Source organism: Homo sapiens, chromosome 4 (assembly GCF_000001405.40).
Source record: "Homo sapiens chromosome 4, GRCh38.p14 Primary Assembly".
NCBI classification, from domain to species: Eukaryota; Metazoa; Chordata; class Mammalia; order Primates; family Hominidae; genus Homo; species Homo sapiens.
This window is the reverse complement of record NC_000004.12, coordinates 93,515,151-93,530,772: the sequence shown is the minus strand read 5'-3', so window position 1 is coordinate 93,530,772 and position 15,622 is coordinate 93,515,151. Positions and strand designations below refer to the sequence as shown.

Here is a 15,622-nt window from a genome sequence, read left to right as displayed (position 1 = left end):
ATCAAGCTCAATGCTGTAGAGATAGAGGGATACACTGATGAATCAGGTATGTGTTCTGGCCCAAAATAGTATATGATCTAGAAGGATAGACAAGCAAAGACAATTACAGTATTAAAAGGAAACCATTTGTGGAGATGGATACATTGTTAAGAAAGTTTAATGGAGGAAGAAAATATTTTAGGAAAGACATCATAGTACAACTGAGGTAGACCTTGAAAATGAAGAACGAATAGACAGAAAAAGAAGGCAGGCAGAGGAGTGCATTCCTGATGGAGGGAAAGAAATGAGCAATACCTGATATGTAAGAACATTGCAGAGTATAAGACAAAGCCAGCAACTTGGTTTGATAGTAATGTATGGCATGTGAAAGGGAAGATACCCAAATCAATACAGAATAGGCGTTATTTAAGTAATGAATGAGTAAATGAATACTGAAAAACAGAATAATACCAACCTATAGAGACTTTTGAATGCTAGCATAAACAATTTGCACTAGAGATAAAGTGGAACACTTACAGGCTTTTGAGCAAAGATGGATCACTTTCAGTGCTATGCTGAGGGAAGATGAATTTGCAGGAGGGGGCCAATTAGTTAGTTATTTCTGTAGTCCAGGAGGATGGTAATAATGACATGAATTACTAAATTGGAAGTAGAAAGTGAAAGGAGAGAATAAATTGGAGAGATGTGTCAGAGGCAGGATTGATAGTTAAAGCAATTATTTGGCTCTGGTAACAAAGATGAAGGCAATGAAAATGATTCCTCAATTTTCAGCCTGATGATAGGGAGGGCAGTGATGCTTTTAACAGAAATAAAGAACACAGAAAGATAAGCGTCAACTTGCAAAGAAAGGTAATTAGTTGAGTGTTAGACATATGGCTGGCAGGAGCACTGACAGGACATCCAGGTGAAGATTTGCAGCAAGCAGATAAGTATTGTTTTGTTCCTAAAATGTAAACGATGTCACAAGGCGGGAAGCAACATTTGCCACTTGATATGCCCCTCACTTAACCTCTACTTTTCAATCAATTGCATGTAAGGAGCAAAGACAGGGAAGGTTTTGTTCCTTAGTGTTGAAACATTCAACACACACACACACGCACACTCTTGGCAGTATCAGTTAGGGTGATCAAATATTTTGGATTACTTTGATGCACCCGAAGCCCTGGGTTCCTAAATCCTCTAGTTGGAAGGCAACATAATAAAGTGAGTGGCTTGCTTGGACTAAAATTGAGCCTAGGCCACTGGATCTCAAATGTTAGATGCATTGGAATCACTTGAAGAGCTTATTAATCTACAATGTTCTAGTCTCTCCCCAAGAGTCTCTGATTAGGTAGTTCTGCCGTGGGCTCTAAGACTTTACATTTCTCTTAGGTTACCAAGTGGTGCTGATGCAGCTGGACCAGGGCCCATGCCTTGAAGATCACTGGCTTAAGACCAGGGCTTTTAAATAGTACCCAGAAGAGTGATTCTCAGAAGATAATCTGTGAACAATGTTTATCAGAATCATCTGTATTGCTCATTAATTTAATTCTTGGGTCCCACCCCAGACTCCGTGAATCTTGATATCTGGGTTTGGAGGTTTAAGAATAAGCATTTTGGACAGCCTCACTAGGCAATTCTTAATAGCATATAAAGTTTGAGAACCACTCAAATTGTGATGTGAATTTTAATTAGTTTTGAGAGGACATTACAGACTTAAGTTTTTTAACTGTGATGGAAAGAGCAAGTGACCAGAATTAAGAGATGTGGGCTGCAGATATAAATATTGACACTAATCAGCTGTGTGGCCTTGGGTAAATCACTTAACCTTTTTAGGTATAATTTTCTCATCCATAAAACAAAATGATTAATCTAGAAGGTCCCTGCAGTCTCTTTCAGCTCCATAACTGTGATGAGTTCTAGGAATCGCAATGGCAGAGATAAACATTCCCAGAGTTTAGGAAAACAAATTATTCTCAATTGGATGTGTCCGAATAACATGAGTTTTTGTTCTGTTGAACTATACATACTTCCTTCCCCCATTCTGACTTGCTTCTTTTGCTGGGGGCTGGTTAATAGGTTATTGGTCTCTTCTGTCTTTGAGAATCACTACTGGGATGAGCCATATTTGTGGGATAGATTGAGTCTTACCTCTCAGGAATGCTGAGCTTTATATGATAAGCAAGCACAATCCAATTTTTATTGGAGCATAATGTGAAGAAGATAGTTATTGAAGTTTATTAGCCAAAATAGTGCCTCTTAAAAATGCATACTAAAATAGAATTTAGATTTACATGATTTCTATCCCATACCCATTAGGATGGCTACTATCAAAAAAACAAAATAAATGTTGGTGAGAATGTAAAAAAAAAAAAAAAATGGAACTCTTGTGCATTATTTGTGTGAAGGTAAAATGGTGCAACCATTATGGAAAACAGTATGGCAGTTCCTTAAATAATTAAAACTAGAATTGCCATTTCGTCTAGCAGTTCCACTTCTGGATATATACCCAAGATAATTGAGAGCCATTATTCATAACAGCCAAAAGGTAGAAGCAACCCATGTCTGTTGATAATGAACAGATAAACAAAATGCAGGATATATATGTGTGTGTGTGTATATGTATATACATATATATATAGCATATATATAAAATGCAGGATATATATACACACACATATATACACATATATACACATATATACACATACACATATACACAACAGAATATTATTTAGCCTTAAAATTGAAGGAAATTCTGACACATGCTGCAATGTAGATGAACCTAGAGGACATTATGCTAAGTGAAGAAAGCCCGTCAAAAAAGGACAACTACTATGTGATTACATTTATATGAGATACCTAGAATGTTCAAATTCGTAGAGACATAATTGATTGCTAAGGCCTTGGGGGGAAGAGGGAATGGGAGGAGGGAATTTTTAGTGGGTACAGAGTTTTAGTTTTGCAAGAAAAAGGGCTGTGGAGATGGATGGTGGCGATGGTTGCACAATAATGTAAATGTATTTAATGCTACTAAACTGTACACCTAAAATGGTTAAGATGGTGAATTTTATGTTACATGTATTTTATAATTTTAAAAAATAAATAAAATTTAAAATTTCAATAAAAATTTGCATTGAAAAAATGAACTTTAAATATGAAAGCTATGAATGTGATGTGCTTAGATTATATTACAAGCCAATTTTTATCACATAAAAAGAGAAGCTTTATCTTTAGTTATGGAGTTTTTTAAAATGTATTGTGCACTTTTGGACTCCAGTATTTAATGTTAGGTATAATAGGAGAAATAAAGGAATAATGGAAGAAGCCAGTTATTTTCTGTAAAACATAAGCATGGTTTTATACTGTAATATATTTATTTCCCCCAAACACTATCAAGACATTCAAATTTTATTTATTTTATTATCTCCTAGGCAAAGCTGGCGCCAGATAGCAGAGCCCTAAAGGATTTTGCAAGACATATTGATTTAAAATAAGAAAAATAATAGAGTTATGGATATTTAACAAGAAAGGAGGAATTTATAATCAGAAGCTTTAGTGCCTAAGATGACAATTAATCTGAGAAACATAAAAACAGAAAGATATGCTAATAGTCATGGCATTTATGTTTAGTCAGAGAATTGAATTTAGCAGTTGAGAAGGAGAAAATTGTAGAACACTGAACACATAAATCAGAATGAGAGGAGAGGGAGGGCCCTTTTGAGGATGTAAAAGAACAGCCAGGGACTGGGAGCCACAGAAAGCGAATGAAACTTACATATGTATAATATACATACACACTAACCTGAAAGATGTTTTTGACAAAGGAATTGAAAAAGACAAGGGCATGAAAACATTTTATTTTTTAAAAAGTCAAAATGGAAATTAAACAAAAATTGTATTCATATGTGTGACTATTTGCGTATGTGTGATTTTTGCAGATGTCTCCTGTTTATTTTATTTTTATATTTATTTTTTATTTTTGAGATGGAGTTTCACTCTTGTTGCCCAGGCTGGAGTGCAATGGCGCAATCTCAGCTCACTGCAACCTCCGCCTCCCAGGTTCAAGTGATTCTTCTGCCTCAGCTTCCCGAGTAGCTGGGATTACAGGCATGCGCCACCACACCTGGCTAATTTTATATTTTTAATAGAGACGGGGTTTCCCCATATTGGTCAGGCTGGTCTCGAACTCCTGACCTCAGGTGATCTGTCCGCCTCAGCCTCCCAAAGTGCTGGGATTACAGGCGTGAGCCACAGCGCCCGGCCTGTTTAAATAAAGAAGGAAGTCATAAAGATGTATACTCTGCTATTAATGGAGGTAAACTCTGAGGGTAAAATTGGAGACTAAAATAATTTTTAAATTATGGTAGGTGTAATAGTTCATTTTCTCACAGCTATAAAGAAATGCCTGAGACTGGGTAATTGATAAAGAAAAGAGGTTTAACTGACTCACAGTTCTGCATGGCTGAGGAGGCCTCAGGAAACTTACAATCATGGTGGAAGGTGAAGGGGAAGCAGGCACCTTCTTCACAAGGCAGCAGAATAGAATGAGTGTGAAATCGAGGAAATATCACTTTAAAACCACTAGCTCGGCAAGAACTCACTCACTATTGTGAGAACAGCACGGGAGAAACTACGCCCATGATCCAGTCACCTCCTATCTGGTCCCTACCCTGACACATGGGGATTACAATTTGAAATGAGATTTGGATGGGAACACAGAGCCAAATGGTATCAGTAGGATTATAATTTTTAATTTTTGGTATTTACCCAACAGAAAATTTTTAAAAAATATATATGCATTTTCCAATTTGGGAAGTAACTTTGAGAGTAAGAACTAAACCAAGGCAATACCTTGGATATTTATTGGAATAAGAAGTTTGAGAATATAATGCAACCAGCAGGAAACAAAGATGCATCAATCTATTCTTTTTTCATCCTGGGGAACTAGAAAGCTGGAAAATCCTTTGGAGAATTTTTTCACTTGGGTATGAGGCTGTGTTTTAAGTCAGGACTAACAACATAGGCTTGATGTTAGGGTCTCTGTGTTAGGGACTCCCACTACAGTCCTCTGAAGTTTCCTAGGAAGCATTTTCTCTCATAAGCTATTAAACAGTTTGAAATTAGTGTCCAAAGACTCACTGAATATTCATTCCAGAAAAAATCTTAGAATTAATAAATTCTGTTTCCACAATTTTAAAATATGGAAGAAAACTAAGTCCAAAGTGGCTCTCTATTCTTCACAATCGAGAAACTGATTTCAAATACTCCTGCTATTCTTTTTACATCTTATTGCTCATCTAGTTTGAATTATTATATTAATGTCCAATTAGCAAGTTCCAGTGATACATGGCCCAGTAGGTGTCTTTGTTCCACAAGCACCTTCCTCCCCCACCACTTTATTGCAGCACCTTCTCTTCTAACTGGAATTGCTTTTTGTTTCTTGCACATACTATGCTCTGCTCACCTTCATGCCTTTGCTCAGGCCCTCTCCTCCCTATCCCATTTTTTTGTTATTTCTGTTACCTAATTAAATACTACTCATTCTAAGTTTAATATCACTTCCTTTAGGAAGTCTTCACTGATCTGAAGTAGCCTCATCCTTCAGGCTATGCTAGGTTCCCTTTCCCTGTGTTCTCACAATGTCTTGTACAAATCTCTGTGGGGTACCTGCTGTTCTGCATTTTACTTAGCAGCCACTGAATAAATGTTTGTTGATTAAAGGAATGAGTGAATGAATAGATGAATTAGAATTGAATGTAGCTAATTAAAAGAAGAATTGGAGCAGATCTGGCTTTCATCATGAATTAAATCACTGTGGAAAAAAGCAATTTTAAAAGAACATACTCTGTCAACAGCAGGTTGGTAGTATCATCTTTATGTACATAAGACAGTACTTCACTGTTGCATCAGCATCCAGTATAATTCACAGAATTTGTATACATATATATATATATATATATATATATACATACATACATATATATATATATATATATATATATATACACATACATACATATATTTTTTCTTGGCATCTAGAAAAACATGTTTGTTTGTAGTATTTGTAGTATGATTTGTCTGCTATAAAACTTGACACATTGTAACTTATGTAAAATTCCTGGTGATGACCTAAGAAGTCTTCATAAGCAACTTTACATGTGTCACAATGATTCTAGGTTTCTCCTTTTCTTTTTGAGAAAACATCTAATCGAGTCTGATTTTGATTTCAAATATCCATGAGGATTGTTAAAAACAAAAATAAGTCTTAATAATAATTTAAAAAAATCCAACTCTACTATTAAAAATGCATTAGCACGGCTGCTGGAAATGATCTCTACATCTTTTTTATTCTCCCACTGTGCAGTTCTCTTCTTTCTTTGTGTGATGACTGACACAGACCTAAAAACTCTGATTTCTAGAGAGCAGAAAATATGCCAGTGGTATCGGAGCTCTCAGCTGCAGGGTGTAGTACTGAAGTGAATCATGTATTTGTTGGAATCATTTGGCAAAAGGGCAAATGCAGCAAATACACTGCTCCCTCCAAGTCCAGTGGTATGACAGCCCAGGCTTGGCGTTTTCGTAGAACCAAAGCTGTTGAGTTTGTTGTCTTGTTTTACCCCAAGCCATTTTCAGTTTGTTTATTTCTGTAATAAGGGCCTAACCCAGATTTTGAGGTCATATACCTAGTTAATATATTAGCAAGTTGCTCACTAAAGCTCCAATTAGCCCTCACCCTCCTTCTGCTGATGGCTCATTAATTGTCATCTACTTTGGCATTTTTACTCAATGACAAATGATGCTTATAGCTCTAGGAGGAAGGGGAATGGAACAAGCAGAAAAGAGGATATGGCCGACATGCAAGGTCAGGACGAAGTATAGATGAAGCTGTGTAACAGCTGAAATCTGTTTTCTACTCACAGCCTTTTTTCCTTTGTGCAACATGGTGCAGAGCTGCTTCATCCTTAAGTCTAGCATGCATCAGCTGCTATCTTTCCCAGCCTCACTCAGCTGTGGGAAGCAATGCCCTCAAGACTTTCAGCTGCTGGTGAGATTGCTGTTAGCCAAGCTTCCACTGCCACTGTCAGGGATGAAGAGGGGCCCCACACCTCAGTAAGCACCTGGCAATATGCTCACCCCTCCTGCCAACCTACACTCATCTTATCAACATAATTTGCCTAGAGTCTGTGTTGGTCCTGGATTCCTAAATGCTGCCCTCATGGAAAGTCTGAAATTTCCAGATTACTGTTTAAATCTCACTGATATGGATCTGCGCATCCCTTGATTTTGACCAGTTTTCCTATTCCTCTACAACTCTCCAGGTTCTTCTACTCTGCTCTATGAAACTTTATTATCAGCAGGATGTGTGTATCTAGGGAGGTCACATAATTTGTTGTCATAATGGTAATACTCTTGAGAGTGAGTGGGAATACAGTTAATAACACTGGGACAAGTGGCAAAATCGAGACTGTCCCAAGCAAACTAGGAAAAATAATCACCTTACCTATAACCTCCATTTGTTTTTTGAAATTTCCTTTTACTTTATTTTGCTAAGTAGAATGTACTTATCTTCTGGGGATACTGCATTGCCTGTGGTCTTGTGGTGATTATTTTTCTCTGCTACAACACTCATACCACTGGGACAGGATCCAGTGTTGGTATCCTCTTTGCCCCTCAAACCATTTCTAGACCCTTGTCCCGAAAATTCTCCAGCTTTGAAGCTTATGTTATCAGACTTTACTACCTGCCACTCAGTGTTACTGAGTGGTCACTAACTGACCCTGCAACACTCCTCCAACATTATTTGAATATTTTTATCACTTGGCTTTCTGTCACTCTCTCAAATAGGAGTTCTGCGTTTCTTCTTGGCGATTTGATTATTCACATAAGCATCTCTTTCCAGTACTTTCTTTTTCAGTCTCAAGTCTTCCTCTTCTCCAAAGATTTTGTCTTTTCTACTACCTGAGCTACCAAATCCCTTGTCATCAATTTCAATAACTGTATTCTCTTCATCATTTCAACTTCAAACGTGTCATCTCAGAACAAGCTTCATGTTACTTCCAATTTTATCCTTCTTGTTTGCTGATTCCAAGAATTCCAGTCCCATCTAGGCCCGCAATGCATTGTTCCTGCCACCCTTTTCATATCCTCAATTCCCTTGTATCATCACTTTCCTTTTATATAGCACAGATTCCATGATTCATAACAATAATTATGTTTTTTTTGCATGTGCTCTTAATTTCCTTTCTTGCTCCTATTATCTTCTATCATACTTTTCTGGAAACACTAATTCTGGTGAAATATACTCTTTGTGGACTTTGCACTTATGCTCAGTCAGCTGAAGATGATGGCTAGACAAATACTCACAATCATGCTGACTGGTCCCAATTTATAGTCATGACCACCGATTACAAACCCCTTCAGTCTTGTCTAGAAAGTTTATTATATTTTAGTAGTTTACTATCTCTTTGATTCTCCAGGACAGCCATTCCTATTTTCTCTTTCTTCAAATCTCCAGAATCTCTGCCCTGCTGCTTACACTTTGGTGATGACTTTGGTTTAAATATAATACAAGCAGTCAAGGATGAACTTCCTTATGCTCCCACCACCACATCTTCTAACTTATGTCCTTCTCTCCTCTTACTATGGATGGACTGTGCTTCTAAGTCCAAACCGTCTACCTGTGCACTAAGATGCCATAACTTATCTCCTAATCAAAGAAAGTTCTCCAGCAATACTGCAGTCTTTTTCCTGTATTATGGGTTTCCTTCTCTTTATTGCATACTCCCATCAATATACAGATACTGTATATGTCTTCTTTCGTAAAAAATTTCCCCAAACCTGACATCCTACTCCAGAAACTCCTCTCATTACTCAGCATTTTCTTTCAGCAAAATTTCTTTAAAAAGGAGTTACTCCTTTAAAAAGAGCTATAGTATCTCCTTGTAGTTTTACTACAGTTACCAGTGTCACTCCTCCAACGTGGCTTGAAGATTTTATCACTTGGCTCTCTGTCACTCTCTCAAATATTAGTTCTGTGTTTATTCTTGGTGATTCGATTATTTGTACAGGCATTTTTTTTCCAGTACCTGGTTCTCATAATCTCTTCTTTCTAGTCTCATAATCTCCACATCCTCTCTTTTACTTCTTTTCTTTTCTCTAATCTTTCCCTAATCTCTTCTTCTACTCTACCAGGCCTGTTGTTGTCAGGTCACCAGTGACTGCTGGTTTCCAAAACTAAAATTAATTTTTAGCATTCATCACCCTTTATCATGAGCATCATTTGACAGACAGTTGATCCTCTGAACTTCTTGAAATTCTTCTTTTCTTTTGGTTTTTAAACCACCACTTACTCTCTCTTGTTTTCCATCTTACCTCACTAGCTGATAGTTTCCTGATGCTTTGTTATGCCCTCTCTGTCTCTGCCTCCTCTAAATATTAAATTGTGTTTATATGTTTTTCTTTTCCAGATATACTCATATCCTCAGTGACCACATCCAGCCTTGTGGCCTTAAATATAAACTTTGCCTGCGTAATGAGTAAGCATTTCATATTAACTACCATGCCAGAGACAAATTCTCATTTGACTTATCAAACCTACTCTTGTCATGGTTTTCTCAATCTCAATAAATGGCAACTCCATCCCTCCACCTACGTAAGCCAAAGATATTGAAGTCATCCCTAACTCCTCTTTTTCACCCCACATTTACTCTTTTAGAAAATCTTGTCAGTGCTACCTTCAAAATATGTTTAAATTTAATCCCTTCTCATCACTTTCACCATAATCACTCTGGTCCACCCCCGCCTCATGTCACACTTGGATTATTACAGTGGCCTCCTCACTAAGCTCCCCGCTCCCACCCTTGAGCCCCCTGGTCTCCACACAGCATCTAGAGCGGACCTTTAAAAAGTTATGTTGCGTCACTCTTCTGCTCAAAACTCTGCACTGGTTTCTCATCTCAGAGTAACTAAGGTCATTAAAATCACTCATAGAATATTATATCAGTGATTGTCAACCCTTATTGTGAATCAGAATCACTTGGAGGAATGTGAGAAATTTAGCTGCCTTCCATTTACCAATTAAGATACAATTTGGACTTTAGTGGGGCCCAAGCATCAGCCTTTTCAATGGCCTCCATCCTGCCCACCTCCCACTCTGATCATATCCATCTGCCTCTCCATCCCCTAACCCCCTCTCTGTGCAACCTGCTCCAACCTCACTGATCTTCTTGACATTTCTCTCCAGTATGCCAAGCTAGCTTCTGCCTCAGGAATTTTGTAATGAGCATTCCCTCTGCCTGGAGCACTTCCTGTCCCCTCTCTCCAAACTATATGCATGGTTCACCCCCTGTCCTCTTTCAGGTCTCCATTCAAACATCAGTTTCTCAGAGAAGTATTTCCCAACCTCCCAATGTGGGATGGCAACATCCTCTTCATGATCTGCTTTTTTTTTTCCATTCTTACCCTTCCAGTTTTTCTTTAGAGCACACATTTATGCTTGTCTGTTATCTTCTCTTCACTACAATATAATCTCCATTTAGGCAGGAACTTTACCTGTTCTATTACACCTTCTAATGCCTAGAACAGAGACTTGGAAACAATAGGTATTCACTGAATATGTGTTGAATGAGTATGTAAAATAGCAGGTTCAAGTCCACTGAATTTTTCAGCCAGAGCTGAATAAAACTGGGGTAAGCTTACTCACTAGTTCTTAGGGTCTGGGATTTGTCTTCCTTCCTCAGTCTTCTAAAACCCATGACACTGGCCCATATTGTTATGACTAATCTTTTGCCTTGGCTTCCATTTTAATACTTCAGTTTTCCAGCTAGGATTAGAGCTAGGCCCTGAAGTCCAGTGGCTTGGTTGCAGCCCTGATGCCCAGTTTGGAGCTTGTGAGTTCCCCCCAGTAATAGCACCCCTTTCCCCATATTGCTCTTGGACTTCTGTGGACAGACAGCCTATACATTAATGCTATCTTTATGAATGAATACTGCTGGTGCTGGCACCACCACCGACTTCCCTGTTACTATGGTATCCATTTGAGTGTACATCCCCTTGGAACTTCATAGTCTGAAGTATTATTCACTTACAAATCCTACCAATCCTGGTTTTATTTACTTCTCTAGTGGTCTTCTATGCTGAGATTCTAGAATGATTTGTTTTTCCCCAAGAGTTATAATAGATTAATGGGAAGTGAATATGGCCCTCATAATAATCAGGGACTTCCCTATTTTAGTGCTGCACATGATCCTTGATTTCTGGTCAGATCCTTACCTGCCACCTGGAAGTTTCTACAACTGCTCTCAGAAGCTGTATCTGTTTATGTCCTAGGCCCATCTAAAATAATCTAATAGACTAAATTCCACTAAGGTGCTAATGCCAGTAACTACTCAAAGTCATAGTCTTTTAAGATGTATTTGCGTTTTAAGAGAAATGAACTTCCCATGGTGTAATTTCAGAATGTTGCTGAGTCACCATCATGGCCTCCTAACTGGCTTCCAGCTTCCATGTTGCCATCTTCCGTTTGTTTCAGCACAATAGTCATATGATTTGCCAAAATATGTTATCATGTTGCTCTTCAGTTCAAAACTCTCCTGAGGTTTGATATCCCACCAGAGAAAAAGCCAACTTAGGATGTTCTAGACAGCCTGTGTTAGCACAACTCAAACTTTAATATGCATATGAACCACCTATGGATATTGTTAAAATGAGATTCACGTTTAGAAAGGCTGGGATAGGGGCATAAGAGTCTATATTTTTAGGAAGCTCTCACGTGATGCAGACACTGCTAGTCCACAGGACCATACTTTGCATTGCTAGACCCTACATGATTCATCTGCTCTCTACCTCCAGATCTTTTACCTCTTGACCTTGTTGCACTTCTGATATTATCCCTTATTTCTGAATCCATACTGGCCCCCTTCATATTCTTGGAACATCTAGGCATGCTTCTACCTCAGGGCCTTTGTACTGGCTGACCCTCTTTCTAAAAACACTTTACTCAGACGTACACATACTCTCCCCTCTCCAACCTGCTTAAAGTTTGTATTCAAATGTTATTTTCTTAGTGAAGCCTTCCCTGGCTACCTGATTTAATAAAGCAGATTACCTTGCTTCTCGGTATTTCCCATCCTCTTCTCCTACTTTATTTTTTCTCCTTAACAATTCTCACTACTGAACATACCACAGAGCTTGTTTATTTTGTTTATTGTTTATACCCACTATAATGCAAACTCCATGAAGGCATTTGTTTTCATTTCTGTCCATCCCAGTGACTAATGTACTGCTTGACAAATAGAAGGTGCTCAATAAATAATTGTTGAATGAATGCATAAAAAATTCAGCTGCATTTTAAAAATCATATTTTTTCTACTTATGCAAAAGATCTTGGTTAAAGCAAGGCAGAAAAAAAAATTTGTCTAGTTTACTTAGGGTAGTTTGCTACCAAGTTTAGCAAATCAGAACTCATCGACTTAATGCTCATTTACACAGATTTCTTTGGTACAAGCCGAAACAAGATGGTAGATGAGATCGGTATCTACCTTCGAGTAAGAGAAACTTAATGAGACTAGTAGCACAATTAAGAACAAATACAGACTGAGACATTAATGGAATCTATTTAAAGTTATAGATTGTGAGGACTGTTTTTCTCAGTGATGCAGGCCTTCCTGGAAGGCAGTTACTATATATATATCCATATATAGTGTGTGTATATATATATGTATATACTATATACATATATAGTATATGCGTATATATACATACATGTACATGTATGTATATACATACATATACATGTATGTATATACATACATGTACATGTATGTATATACATACATATACATGTATGTATATACATACATATATAGTATATACATACACACACACATACATATATATATATATGGATTCTTGCCCAAGATATTATAGAAGAAGTGTGGCCTTTTGTGAAATGTTGACCTAAAAGACCTCTGATGTCTTATCTGCCTGTATAAATTAGAAATCAATGACAGAGAATAAAAAGCTGCTGTGTGAAATGTTCAAGACTAGTTTCTTGAATAAGAATCCACAACCACATTCCATGTGTCATAGTTCTCAATTTCATGAAACTCCAATGAACTTTATCAGGTGAAAAGGTTATTATTTGTTTGTTGGTTGTTTTTTTAATAGAAGCTGGCCAAGACCTTGTAAGCTTGAACCAAAATACATCGTATTATTATTAGCTGCTCTCTGTCTAATCAATTGTCAGCTGTTTCTAATTTGGGTTGAAAGAAATATATAGTACAAACAAATTTCACTTAGATATTTTCTATTATAAATTCATTCAGAAGAGCATTTTCACTAGCCCTCTAGTAAATCAGAAAACTGAATCAACATGGTATAATAAATATTTGAGGACTTGATTTGCAGTTTCGAACTCATTAGCCCTCCTTATCAACAGACTAACAAAGAATAGAAATTATTATCTACCTCTTTTATTGTTTCTTCTTTTTATTATGTCACAACTTTACATTAAGATTAGGAAATATTAAACAATAAAGCTTTAAATTACAAATCCCTCACATATAAATTGTCTCAGGTAATCTTCAGGGCCATCTTATGAGAAAGGTTTATGGCTCTACTCATACTACTTATTGATGCTTTATATATATTATCTTATTTAATCTTGACAAAAACTGTGTGAGGTAGAATTCTTATCTTCATGATGCAACTCTCAAGGCCCAGAGATTTTGAGTAGCTAGTTATGTTTATACATTTTATTTAAAAAAATGAGCTGGATTCAAACCCGGATTGATGTGCCCATTAACACCAGGCTGGTGGGAGAAAATAAAATGAAATTTCTCTGCAATAATACTGTATAGAATGAGGTTATAAGGCAGGGGGAGCTTTGGCTCCTAAAATGGAATAGAAATATGAACTATAAATTTCTATTTATATTAATCATCAAAAAACAAATTCATTTTTAACAGATGATATAAAGGAAAATAACTCATCCTCAAAGCCATAGTGTATACTTATTCTGAACACAAATTCATTAACATGCTATGAGTACCCAGTAAGCCTTAAAATGTCCACCCTCCTCCTCCCTTCCCCAAAAATACATGTTCATTCACCCACTTGGATCCATCTCTCAACCCGAACCCCATTAACTGGGAGAACCATGTTGAAACTCCAGGAGCCAATGGTTCTTTGGAGAAAGCCAAGAAATATTTTAGAATCAATAACTGAGCCCCAGAAAATGGGGTATAATAAGGGCAAAGAGGATAGAGGCCATTGCTAACATCTCCAGGACATTCACTTCCTTAAAGACATCATTAATACTTGAAGAAAGGTTTATGTTAGCATCACCAGCTCTCAGAAGAATGATATCAATATGTTGACTGCAAGAATTACTAGGCTGACTCTAGGGACCATAGTAGTAGCAGTGGCAGATAAAGGGTGCCAGATGAAAAAGCAGAGAATAATGCTGGAACCTGTCACAGAATAATTTTTATAGTCATCAAAATATCCTCTAGGATGACATTAGTGAGTTTGCCTTTAGAACAGGAAACACAGACTTGGAGTCCAAATTATTCTGCAGTGGAAGGTCAGAGAGAAAAAGTGTATACCACTATTGCTGCTATTACTGACGTTCATTCCTGCATTCCATAATTATTTATTAAATGTCAACAATGATTTTCACTAGGCTAGTCACTAGAGATAATTTTAAGAAAAAACAGTCAGATCTCTCATAGAGGTTGATAGGGTTTGAATTGCTTCCGTATATATGTTTATAAGCTACAGCTCAGAGTAAAAATAGCCTTAAGATTTTCACATAAAAGAAAAACAGTCTTTCTATGCCTTTTTAATATAGATAGTTATAGAAAAAGTAAGATGTAAATAAAGATTTTCACATTTGGAATAGAAACAGACATCCATAGGAACCTTATTTGTTGACAAGATTAACTTTTACTTCCAGATAGCTTCACATAATCACAACTAAAGATGACGGTTTAATCCAAAAACAAGTGTAGTGTAGAAAATACCCTGAGTCATTTAAAAGAATCAGATAACTTGAATGATATTTGGAATGGGATTTATAAAAACTTTTTTAAACTTCATGTTTGTTAAGTCCTTAACCCTTTTCTGAACAAAATACCAGTGTGTGTATTTGATTTTGGAATTCAAATGGAAACTGATCTGTTAGACACACTACAGAGGACTTTGAATTCCCTAAAAAATCTTCTTTAAATCAATATAAGATGCATTGTAACAGGAAATTTGCCGTCAGCATTAAAGATAAAAAACAAAAAACAAAACAAAAAAAACAAATCTCAACTGCGCAATTCCAGCATGGGACACAAAATGGTAAGGACTATTAAAGGAGAACCATGGACAGTACCTTTTGAATGCCTGCCTGGGACTCCAGAACATTGTTCTCCGATCCATTGCTTCGGTTGATCATCCGCCACATTTGGGAATACATGCTGTCCCTCTCAAAAGGATTCAGTCCTTTCATGCGGACATGCTCATATACCGCAGAGTCTAGGACTGTGCCATAAGGGATTTCTGTTTGCTTGGAAAGGTCCTGGAGAGACCTTGATTATTGGGAGAGAAGAGAGACACAAGAGACACATTACTGAGTATTTTCAAGTGGGAATAA

The 15,622-nt window shown here is 37.0% G+C and overlaps 1 protein-coding gene across 17 annotated transcripts in view; it reads right to left on the bottom strand.

Moving 5' to 3' along the window:
* The window catches only part of GRID2 (glutamate ionotropic receptor delta type subunit 2), a 1,506,491-nt gene that overhangs the window by 279,684 nt on the left and 1,211,185 nt on the right, over positions 1-15,622 (bottom strand). For all 17 annotated transcript variants that reach the window (NM_001440459.1, XM_024454024.2, NM_001510.4 and 14 more), the window contains one exon: positions 15,362-15,557. In NM_001440459.1, the coding sequence (NP_001427388.1) occupies positions 15,362-15,557 (196 nt within the window). The remainder of the gene's footprint in view (positions 1-15,361; positions 15,558-15,622) is intronic.